The sequence below is a fragment of the Homo sapiens genome, chromosome 12 (assembly GCF_000001405.40).
Source record: "Homo sapiens chromosome 12, GRCh38.p14 Primary Assembly".
NCBI classification, from domain to species: Eukaryota; Metazoa; Chordata; class Mammalia; order Primates; family Hominidae; genus Homo; species Homo sapiens.
Window position 1 is genome coordinate 29,809,275 of NC_000012.12, and position 12,454 is coordinate 29,821,728.

At 40.0% G+C, this 12,454-nt stretch overlaps 2 annotated features.

Annotated features, from left to right (window-relative positions):
• Positions 297-843: an enhancer, noted in NCBI's record as "H3K4me1 hESC enhancer chr12:29962504-29963050 (GRCh37/hg19 assembly coordinates)". NCBI's record gives its function as "activates a minimal SCP1, AML or CMV promoter by ChIP-STARR-seq in naive H9 embryonic stem cells {active_cell/tissue: H9 hESC(naive)}" and the evidence as "EXISTENCE:reporter gene assay evidence [ECO:0000049][PMID:30033119]".
• Positions 844-1,389: an enhancer, noted in NCBI's record as "H3K4me1 hESC enhancer chr12:29963051-29963596 (GRCh37/hg19 assembly coordinates)". NCBI's record gives its function as "activates a minimal SCP1, AML or CMV promoter by ChIP-STARR-seq in naive H9 embryonic stem cells {active_cell/tissue: H9 hESC(naive)}" and the evidence as "EXISTENCE:reporter gene assay evidence [ECO:0000049][PMID:30033119]".

Consider the following 12,454-nt stretch of genomic DNA (forward strand, 5'->3'; position numbering starts at 1 on the left):
GGACCCAAGCACATTTTTTGGGTGGTGAAATGTTTTATATCTTGATCGTGGTGGGAGTTACACAAACGTGTCCATTTTTCCTTGAACTGTATTCTTAAAATGAGTACATTTTATAGTATGTAACATATCTCAATAAACTGAGTTTTAAAAACTATTATTTGGCTGAACTAATGAAAAATTACAGATATTCAGCCAATTTTGACCTATAAAAACATCAGGTTTGCAGATGGTTTAATTTTATATTTTATGAATGAATGATATATTGTCTGTAATTAATTCAAATTGAATTTTGAAAGAAGTTTTACCATGAGTAATATTTACATCATAATGTGGAGACTTTAAAAAATGGCAAATATATGCACCTCATCCCCGCATCTTGCTCCTTTAGGGATCATTGCTAGAAGGCCACTATTTTTGATAGGTAATTAGAGTAAGTCCAAAAAAACAAAATCGGGGAGGAGCCAAGATAGCCAAATAGGAACAGCTCCGGTCTACAGCTCCCAGCATGAGCGATGCAGAAGACCGGTGATTTCCGCATTTCCATCTGAGGTACCGGGTTCATCTCACTAGGGAGTGCCAGACAGTGGGTGCAGGTCAGTGGGTGTGTGCACCATGCGCGAGCCGAAGCAGGGCGAGGCATTGCCTCACTCGGGAAGCGCAAGGGGTCAGGGAGTTCCCTTTCCTAGTCAAAGAAAGGGGTGACAGGCGGCACCTGGAAAATCGGGTCACTCCCACCCGAATACTGCGCTTTTCCGACGAGCTTAAAAAACGGCGCACCAGGAGATTATATCCTGCACCTGGCTCAGAGGGTCCTATGCCCACAGAGTCTCGCTGATTGCTAGCACAGCAGTCTGAGATCACACTGCAAGGCAGCAGCGAGGCTGGGGGAGGGGTGCCCGCCATTGCCCAGGCTTGCTTAGGTAAACAAAGCAGCCAGGAAGCTCAAACTGGGTGGAGCCCACCACAGCTCAAGGAGGCCTGCCTGCCTCTGTAGGCTCCACCACTGGGGGCAGGGCACAGACAAACAAAAAGACAGCAGTAACCTCTACAGACTTAAATGTCCCTGTCTGACAGCTTTGAAGAGAGCAGTGGTTCTCCCAGCACGCAGCTGGAGATCTGAGAACGGGCAGACTGCCTCCTCAAGTGGGTCCCTGACCCCTGATCCCCGAGCAGCCTAACTGGGAGGCACCCCAGCAGGGGCAGACTGACACCTCACATGGCCGGGTATTCCAACAGACCTGCAGCTGAGGGTCCTGTCTGTTAGAAGGAAAACTAACAAACAGAAAGGACATCCACACCAAAAACCCATCTGTACATCACCATCATCAAAGACCAAAAGTAGATAAAACCACAAAGATGGGAAAAAACAGAGCAGAAAAACTGGAAACTCTAAAAAGCAGAGCACCTCTCCTCCTCCAAAGGAACGCAGCTCCTCACCAGCAATGGAACAAAGCTGGATGGAGAATGACTTTGACGAGCTGAGAGAAGAAGGCTTCAGACGATCAAATTACTCCGAGCTACGGGAGGACATTCAAACCAAAGGCAAAGAAGTTGAAAACTTCGAAAAAAATTTAGAAGAATGTATAACTAGAATAACCAATACAGAGAAGTGCTTAAAGGAGCTGATGGAGCTGAAAACCAAGGCTCGAGAACTACGTGAACAATGCAGAAGCCCCAGGAGCTGATGTGGTCAACTGGAAGAAAGGGTATCAGCGATGGAAGACGAAATGAATGAAATGAAGCGAGAAGGGAAGTTTACAGAAAAAAGAATAAAAAGAAATGAGCAAAGCCTCCAAGAAATATGGGACTATGTGAAAAGACCAAATCTACGTCTGATCGGTGTACCTGAAAGTGACAGGGAGAATGGAACCAAGTTGGAAAACACTCTGCAGGATATTATCCAGGAGAACTTCCCCAATCTAGCAAGGCAGGCCAACATTCAGATTCAGGAAATACAGAGAACACCACAAAGATACTCCTCGAGAAGAGCAACTCCAAGACACATAATTGTCAGATTCACCAAAGTTGAAATGAAGGAAAAAATGTTAAGGGCAGCCAGAGAGAAAGGTCTGGTTACCTACAAAGGGAAGCCCATCAGATTAACAGCGGATCTCTCGGCAGAAACCCTACAAGCCAGAAGAAAGTAGGGGCCAATATTCAACATTCTTAAAGAAAAGAATTTTCAACCCAGAATTTCATATCCAGCCAAATTAAGCTTCATAAGTGAAAGAGAAATAAAATACTTTACAGATAAGCAAATGCTGAGAGATTTTGTCACCACCAGCCCTGCCTTAAAAGAGCTCCTGAAGGAAGCGCTAAACATGGAAAGGAACAACTGCTACCAGCCACTGCAAAATCATGCCAAAATGTAAAGACCATTGAGACTAGGAAGAAACTGCATCAACTAACGAGCAAAATAACCAGCTAACATCATAATGACAGGATCAAATTCACACATAACAATATTACCTTTAAATGTAAATGGACTAAATGCTCCAATTAAAAGACACAGACTGGCAAATTGGATAAAGAGTCAAGACCCATCAGTGTGCTGTATTCAGGAAACCCATCTCACGTGCAGAGACACACATAGGCTCAAAATAAAAGGATGGAGGAAGATCTACCAAGCAAATGGTAAACAATAAAAGGCAGGGGTTTCAATCCTAGTCTCTGATAAAACAGACTTTAAACCAACAAAGATCAAAAGGGACAAAGAAGGCCATTACCTAATGGTAAAGGGATCAATTCAGCAAGAAGAGCTAACTATCCTAAATATATATGCACCCAATACAGGAGCACCCAGATTCATAAAGCAAGTCCTGAGTGACCTACAAAGAGACTTAGACTCCCACACATTAATAATGGGAGACTTTAACATCCCACTGTCAACATTAGACAGATCAATGAGACAGAAAGTTAACAAGGATACCCAGGAATTGAACTCAGCTCTGCACCAAGCAGACCTAATAGACATCTACAGAACTCTCCACCCCAAATAAACAGAATATACATTGTTTTCAGCACCACACCATACCTATTCCAAAATTGACCACATACTTGGAAGTAAAGCTCTCCTCAGCAAATGTAAAAGAACAGAAATTATAACAAACTATCTCTCAGACCACAGTGCAATAAAACTAGAACTCAAGATTAAGAATCCCATTCAAAACTGCTCAACTACATGGAAACTGAACAACCTGCTCCTGAATGACTACTGGGTACATAACGAAATGAAGGCAGAAATAAAGATGTTCTTTGAAACCAACGAGAACAAAGACACAACATACCAGAGTCTCTGGGATGCATTCAAAGCAGTGTGTAGGGGAAAATTTATAGCACTAAATGCCCACAAGAGAAAGCAGGAAAGATTCAAAATTGACACCCTAACATCACAATTAAAAGAACTAGAAAAGCAAGAGCAAACACATTCAAAAGCTAGTAGAAGGCAAGAAATAACTAAAATCAGAGCAGAACTGAAGGAAATAGAGACACAAAAAACCCTTCAAAAAATTAATGAATCCAGGAGCTGGTTTTTTGAAAGGATCAACAAAATTGATAGACCACTAGCAAGACTAATAAAGAAAAAAAGAGAGAAGAATCAAATAGATGCAATAAAAAATGATAAAGGGGATATCACCACCGATCCCATAGAAATACAAACTACCATCAGAGAATACTACAAACACCTCTATGCAAATAAACTAGAAAATCTAGAAGAAATGGATAAATTCCTTGACACATACACCCTCCCAAGACTAAACCAGGAAGAAGTTGAATCTCTGAATAGGCCAATAACAGGCTCTGAAATTGTGGCAATAATCAATAGCTTACCAACCAAAAAGAGTCCAGGACCAGATGGATTCACAGCCAAATTCTACCAGAGGTACAAGGAGGAACTGGTAACATTCCTTCTGAAACAATTCCAATCAATAGAAAAAGAGGGAATCCTCCCTAACTCATTTTATGAGGCCAGCATCATCCTGATACCAAAGCCGGGCAGAGACACAACCAAAAAAGAGAATTTTAGACCAATATCCTTGATGAATGTTGATGCAAAAATCCTCAATAAAATACTGGCAAACTGAATCCAGCAGCACATCAAAAAGCTTATCCACCATGATCAAGTGGGCTTCATCCCTGGGATGCAAGGCTGGTTCAATATACGCAAATCAATAAATGTAATCCAGCATATAAACAGACCAAAGACAAAAACCACATGATTATCTCAATAGATGCAGAAAAGGCCTTTGACAAAATTCAACAACTCTTCATGCTAAAAACTCTCAATAAATTAGGTATTGATGGGACGTATTTCAAAATAATAAGAGCTATCTATGACAAACCCACAGCCAATATCATACTGAATGGGCAAAAACTGGAAGCATTCCCTTTGAAAACTGGCACAAGACAGGGATGCCCTCTCTCACCACTCCTATTCAACATAGTGCTGGAAGTTTTGGCCAGGGCAATTAAGCAGGAGAAGGAAATAAAGGGTATTCAATTAGGAAAAGAGGAAGTCAAATTGTCCCTGTTTGCAGATGACATGATTGTATGTCTACAAAACCCCATTGTCTCAGCCCAAAATCTCCTTAAGCTGATAAGCAACTTCAGCAAAGTCTCAGGATACAAAATCAATGTACAAAAATCACAAGCATTCTTATACACCAACAACAGACAAACAGAGAGCCAAATCATGAGTGAACTCCCATTCACAATTGCTTCAAAGAGAATAAAATACCTAGGAATCCAACTTACAAGGGATGTGAAGGACCTCTTCAAGGAGAACTACAAACCACTGCTCAATGAAATAAAAGAGGATACAAACAAATGGAAGAACATTCCATGCTCATGGGTAGGAAGAATCAATATCGTGAAAATGGCCATACTGCCCAAGGTAATTTACAGATTCAATGCCATCCCCATCAAGCTACCAGTGACTTTCTTCACAGAATTGGAAAAAACTACTTTAAAGTTCATATGGAACCAAAAAAGAGCCCGCATCGCCACGTCAATCCTAAGCCAAAAGAACAAAGCTGGAGGCATCACACTACCTGACTTCAAACTATACTACAAGGCTACAGTAACCAAAACAGCATGGTACTGGTACCAAAACAGAGATATAGATCAATGGAACAGAATAGAGCCCTGAGAAATAATGCTGCATATCTACAACTATCTGATCTTTGACAAACCTGAGAAAAATAAGCAATAGGGAAAGGATCCCCTATTTAATAAATGGTGGTGGGAAAACTGGCTAGCCATATGGAGAAAGCTGAAACTGTATCCCTTCCTTACACCTTATACAAAAATCAATTCAAGATGGATTAAAGACTTAAACGTTAGATCTAAAACCATAAAAACCCTAGAAGAAAACCTAGGCATTACCACTCAGGACATAGGCATGGGCAAGGACTTCATGTCTAAAACACCAAAAGCCATGGCAACAAAAGCCAAAATTGACAAATGGGATCTAATTAAACTAAAGAGCTTCTGCACAGCAAAAGAAACTACCATCAGAGTGAACAGGCAACCCACAAAATGGGAGAAAATTTTCGCAACCTACTCATCTGACAAAGGGCTAATATCCAGAATCTACAATGAACTCAAACAAATTTACAAGAAAAAAACAAACAACCCCATCAAAAAGTGGGCGAAGGACATGAACAGACACTTCTCAAAAGAACACATTTATGCAGCCAAAAAACACATGAAAAAATGCTCACCATCACTGGCCATCACAGGAATGCAAATCAAAACCACAATGAGATACCATCTCACACCAGTTAGAAAGGCAATCATTAAAAAGTCAGGAAGCAACAGGTGCTGGAGAGGATGTGGAGAAATAGGAACACTTTTACACTGTTGATGGGACTGTAAACTAGTTCAACCATTGTGGAAGTCAGTGTGGCGATTCCTCAGGGATCTAGAACTAGAAATACCATTTGACCCAGCCATCCCATTACTGGGTATATACCCAAAGGACTATAAATCATGCTGCTATAAAGACACATGCACACGTATGTTTATTGCGGCACTATTCACAATAGCAAAGACTTGGAACCAACCCAAATGTCCAACAATGATAGACTGGATTAAGAAAATGTGGCACATATACACCATGGAATACTATGCAGCTATAAAAGACGATGAGTTCATGTCCTTTGTAGGGACATGGATGAAATTGGAAATCATCATTCTCAGTAAACTATCGCAAGAACAAAAAACCAAACACTGCATATTCTCACTCATAGGTGGGAATTGAACAATGAGAACACATGGACACAGGAAGAGGAACATCACACTCTGGGGACTGTTGTGGGGTGGGGGGAGGGGGGAGGGATGGCATTGGGAGATATACCTAATGCTAGATGACGAGTTAGTGGGTGCAGCGCACCAGCAAGGCAGATGTATACATATGTAACTAACCTGCACTTTGTGCACATGTACCCTAAAACTTAAAGTATAATAATAATAAATTTTAAAAAAATCATTGGATTCTATATTGTTGTAAGTTTTAGGATATTTTGTACTCAATCATATTTGATCAACTCTAACGAAGAGTGGTATAGTTCCACCTAACACAAGTTTCACTCAATAAACATAATGTCCTCAGAAATATTTTGGAAGATAGTTTTTAAATATGATAATAATTTTACAAGTCAAAAATATGTTTTTTCTTTTTAATGGGAAGCTAGAAATATTAATTTCTTAGAATGAAGACAATCTTTAGAAAACTTTAACAAGAGTGAGAAAAAGCATTTGAAAATCAAAGTCAATTTCAACTCCTTGTCGTTAAATGAAACACTATCACTTGCCTAATTTGGAAATCTTATTTTTGAAAAAAAAAATCAATAAATTTCCAGACACAATTAGCCAATTCAAAATATCGGCATAAAATTCTTGTTTCTCATATTGTTTTTTTCAGTACATGTTCAAGTTTCTATTTCAGAATGATTAAGAAATTGACTGTGGTCAAGGGGTCCTTCTAGGAAAAAGCACTTATCTAATCTTTATTATTAGAAAAATAGAATAAGGATTAAAGAGCAGGAAACTATGACATCGACATCTGGATGAGAAAGGACAACATATTCAACCTTCATTCTCATTTTTTTCTAAATATATTCCTCGATGACATCCAAATGGTTAGGTCAATTGTTAAGAAACAGTTGGTTTCTAAAGGGCAAGCCACGTTGTTTGGTAAGTACTGATGCATACAGACACTAGAAGCATTTTGGGTAAAACTGGTCTTTTTGTGGGATTGCCAAATAAAATACAATATGGCCAGTTAAAATTGAATTTCAGATACATTTTTCTTGTATAGTATATATTCCACACAATGTTTGTTGATTATACTAAAAATTACCTGTTATTCATTTAAAACCAAAATTAACTGGGTATCTTATACTTTCATGAGCTAAATATGTACATACTATCTCTTGGTCTTATAGTGATTAATATAATTCAGTGAGATAATAGTCCATAATCTATTAGGTATCATAAAATTTGCTTAACATGTTCCAAACTTGAAAGAAGATTGAACTAGCTAGCGAGATTCCTTTCTTGTCTTTTGGTTAAATTGTCAATGTTGCTTTCTGAGCAATTAATGTTACTCAAATATTGTATACTTGAAAAATAAGCAATTAAGTAATAAAACTCATTTGTATATGGAGAAATATCCAACACCCTATTACTTTGGTAAAGACAGTAATGCTTCTGGTTGTATACGGTCCAGCTTCCAGAGAGGAAAGAATGGCTTCTCTGAGAAAGGTTGACAGGAACTACATTTTCATTTCCTTTGGAAAATTCCCCATGCTTTTGGCTCTGTGTCCTGTGTATACACGCACAAACACACATTTCCTTTCTGGTTTTTTTTCCTGCTTATTTCTATTGCAATATAGTTTCATGTTGTTTTTATCTGAAAGAAGAAATTGGAAGGTAACATCCAGGCATGAAGATTTGGTGTTTACTTGAACCATTTCATTAATGTTTCCAAGTTGAGTGGTTTCCATGTTTCCCAAAGGTTTTCACCCCTTAAAAGCTGATGGATGGGCTGACAGAGCCTTCCAGGCTTGGGCTGGTGTAATGTGAGCTCAGTGCCTGGAAACAATAAAGCAGCAATTTTCTGAGAGATTTACCTGCAGAAGAGCCAGGAATATAAAAGCATTTTCAGTTACCCACCCTAAGTCTCTTATTTTCTCTTAGTCCCAAGAGGGGTTTGAGAGGACTGTATCCTGTCAGGTTAATTGAGGGTGACATTAAAGGTAATCTCAGCAGCTGCCACTGTAATGGCTCAGAGGGAAAGACCAGTGGAGCAAGTGGAGTCTTCATGATGGGAACAACAGAAGCAAAGATTGCAGGGGTTGGGAAATGTCAGAGCCTTTCTCTTAAATGCTGGATGGTGGCATCCAGTTGACATTTGACAAGCAATGGTTCTAGCTCCAGTAGGGGCTATGAGCCAAGTGAAGGCTTCACCTGAGTTTGGTCCATCAGGACTGAGCCAGACTGTCTAAAATTCTTGTTGGATGTAGTCCCCAACACTGCATTCTCAGAGGACTGTACCTTGAAACTGGTCTTTTTATGTCACAGAGCAGGAAGGGGTGTGTGTGCTGGATTCAGTGCCCTAAAGAGAGTTCAGGGGTAAGGAGGTCTGGACTAAAGTGATGTGAGCTGGCACCAGCAGGACCTTAGCTCTCCACCTCAGGGTTGTAACAGGGATCAATTAACCTTAACCTTAAAGAAGCCCAGGTTCAGGGTGTCCCATTCAAATTCACAGTCCATCAGATACTTCTGATTTAAAATGCTAGGACCATGACAATTCTGCCTATTATTGCCATTTATTTGGTAATCTAATAATCATGTAACAATTCACTTCCAGGTTCACCTAGTAATCCATAACTCCTCCAAATGTTAAATAACAATAAACTTAAAATAAGCTTTCTGGATGGCCCAAGAAAATTATGTTGGAAAAATCTCATTTAATGGACTTTTGGGCTCTCACAAGGAAATGACTTATTTTTTCAAGAGTTTAGAAAGCTGACGTGAGGCTAACTTAGAAGACGTTGTGATGTGATAGAGAAATTGGCTGTGTCTTATTGCTCTACAGGGGAGAGGACATCACTAAAGAGGGAAAGAAGGTCATTAGTTTGGGAGGCCTGAGCTCCATTTATATCAGAGGAAGGTTAGGAGCCTCTGATAAACTCACACTCAATTTGCCACAGTAGAGAGGGGTTGAGAGGGAGACGTTCAGCCAGACCTAGAGGAGGGACTTGCATGTTCCTGAAACTGGAGGAAACAGATGGTTGCAACCAGGCCTTTTTAAGTCACAGGTTTTCACTGGTGAACACTTACATTTTTTCAATTCCACGTGGTGCGTCAGGAGGTCATAGGACATGGAAGGGGTGGCACATGGATGCCAGCAAAAGGAACTCAAAATGCTACAGCCTTGAAAGCTTTAGCAGGTCAGTGGTCAAGCCGTGTGGTGACAGAAGCAGCAGATGCCACAGGCAGCAGGACTGTGACTATGGCACACACCTATCTTAGAATGGAAGTATGGGCCAGAGAGGACCCCAATCGACACACTATTCAGTCTTTCATACTGATGCTGGACCTGTACCTCTGGCCTTGGCCTAATTATTGGCCTCAAAGGAGCAAAATGTTGGACACCATCAACCTTGCCTTGTTGAAAACAGTAATGAGAAGCCCATCTGGAGCCATCTTTCCAGCCAGAGCTAGAAGTCAGAGGACAGGCTGGCCACCACACAGAGGCAGAGTGGTTTTTCAGAGGCTCTGGCTGGGTGTCAGGAGCTTTGGGAAGCTTATCTCCACTGGCCAAATGTCATGAGGTCTTTCCAGGGAGAAGCTCTGATTGTTCTGGCTCCATCTCCCATCTTTGTCTAACCTTCCTGGCATCATCTCCAGGCCTCTGCTGGCAGTGGTGCTTTCCGGACTCATTGCTCCATTTAAATGACTTCCAGATGGTGATTTTCTGTTTCGAGGATGAGTGAACATTTCCATAAGTTGCATCTCATTTTACTAATATCACTAATTTCTTTGCTTTCTTGCATCCAATCAATCCATCATTCCACTTTATCTGTGGATTTCATTAATGAGCCATTGACTTCCTCTTCCAGATCATTAGTGAAGATGTCCAATTCTGACCAGATCTAATACCAATTCCCATGGCTCATTGCTGGCTGCCCCAACAGCTCCTGGAGGAGGCATTCATCAGTCTCATACTGTGACTTCATTATCTCAAACCAATTTTAACCCATTTTGCAGGAAACACTTCTTAGGATGTTGTAAAACTTAATGTTTTCCCAAGGAACTCCTAATTTTAATAGGACCAGAGCAGATGGCCACATGATATAGTGTAATATACCTAGCCATGAAATTCCAGGCTCCACTAACCAGAGTGTAGGCTCATTCATTCTTTCGTTTTTTTCTACAGAAGAACAAAAGAAGGATTACACCCCTCTGCTATAATCCACTATGCTTTTTATGCTTTTCCAGCACCACACTTTTCTATTGATTTGCCCTTTCTGTTTGACAGAAGCTTTCACTTACAGTCCATCTTCTTGGTTACTCTTGGGGTACTTTACACAAATCAGCAGGTTACTGAATGGCTGGGAAGCTTACACAGGTGGCTAAAATTTAAGTTTAGAATAGATGATGTTCTCAACGGCTTGGAGAACAGGGTCTCCTGGGCTTTCCTGACTTTTCTTTACTCACTCTTGGTACAAATCAGGTTCTAATTATGTGAACTGAATCAAAGAAAATGATCTGGGATCAGCTTAATTTTTTTTTTATGTTTAGCCCTAAGTGCTTGGTACACAAAGTGACACGTTTCAGGCATAGCTCAACACCGATATTTTCTTCTTGGCTGTGAAATTTCCTTCTGAAATTAAAAAAAAGTACTTTTCTTCCCTCTATTAAAATAATTTTTTCTTTTGTGAAAGGAGAATAAAAATTGTATGTCTATTATCATTATAACTTGTACAAAACTGAAAAGAAAACTAAAAAAAATGAAATGTTTGGTTTGTTGGAGTGGTAAAATTGAAGATACATTATTCTTTATTATACCCTTGTTTAATACAATTGAAGTAATTTAATCTGTAGTATATTCTTATATAGTCAGGTTATAAGTGTTTTTTTTCAAAGCTATTAAGAAAATAAGTATTCAAAATCTTTGGGGGAAACAATTTCTTTCTGCTTGAGTCCAAGTTAAAATGGATCTCCCAATAGCTGAGTGAAGTAGCATTTTCTGAGCAACACTGTTAAACGTTCCCCAGGCAAAAGGATCTCAGATGTTCGTTTCATCAATTCATGCTACACAGCATGTGGGTTATGGCATATAACTCAAAACTATTCAGGAAGGTAAGATGCCACTGGATCTTTGCATGCACGTTTAAGTTTTAGTGATGGTTATTTGACTTTGCATTGTAATATAGTGTGGCATAGCATAGCATGGCAGAACAAATATATAGCATAGTAGTCAGAACGCTAACTTTGGAAACAACAGAGCTTCAAATCTGGTCCTTCTACATATTAACTGTATGATCTTGGGAATATCATTTAATCTCTCTGAGCTCCAGTTTTACCCTCTGAAAATGTGATAATGCTACTTAACAATTATTGTAAGGGTTAAGTCAATCAGGGTTCTCCAGAGAAACAGGAGCAACAGGATGTGTGTGTGCGTGTGTGTGTGTGTGTGTGTGTGTGTGACAGAGAGAGAGAGAGAGAGAGAATATATATGGGGGTGCAGATTTTAAGGAATTGGCTCACATGATTGTGGAGGCTGGCAAATCCTAAATCTTCAGGGTAGACTGGCAGACTGGAGACTCAGAATTTTTGCAGTTGGAGTCTGAAGGCAGTCTGCTGGCAGAATTTCTTCTTTCTTGGGGAAGATCAGTCTTTATTCTCTTCAGGCCTCCAATTGATTGGATGAGGTCCACCCACATCGTGGAGGGTAAACTGATTTACTCGAAGTCCACTGATTTAAATGCAATTAACATTTAACCTTCACAGAAACATCCAGAAACTGCTTAACCATAGCCCAGCCAAGTAGCCAGGTTGACATAAGTTAACCATCACAGTGAAGTCAGGTTTGTAAGGCAGGAGAGGCTGACAGTAGTAAGCATTCAATAAAATCATCTCATGAGTTTCTGTATCCCAGAGGCACAGGGGATGAGGATGAAATTGTTGGATTTTAGAGAATTTCTTTGCTGAAAGTTTGTGATTTGGATTGCCGGGCTTATAGCTAAGAAATGGTGGTGTGATTGCCAATTCACTCCTCAAGACTAGAGTTGTAAGTAATCCCGGAAATTGGCTACTCCACTTCATAAAGAAAAAAGAAGACACTGGAAGGATATGGAGTTAGAAACCCCCACATCACTGCTGAGAAACAGAAGACAAGATACTTAGGGGGATTCATATAAGTGATCGCTAGCTATACTCT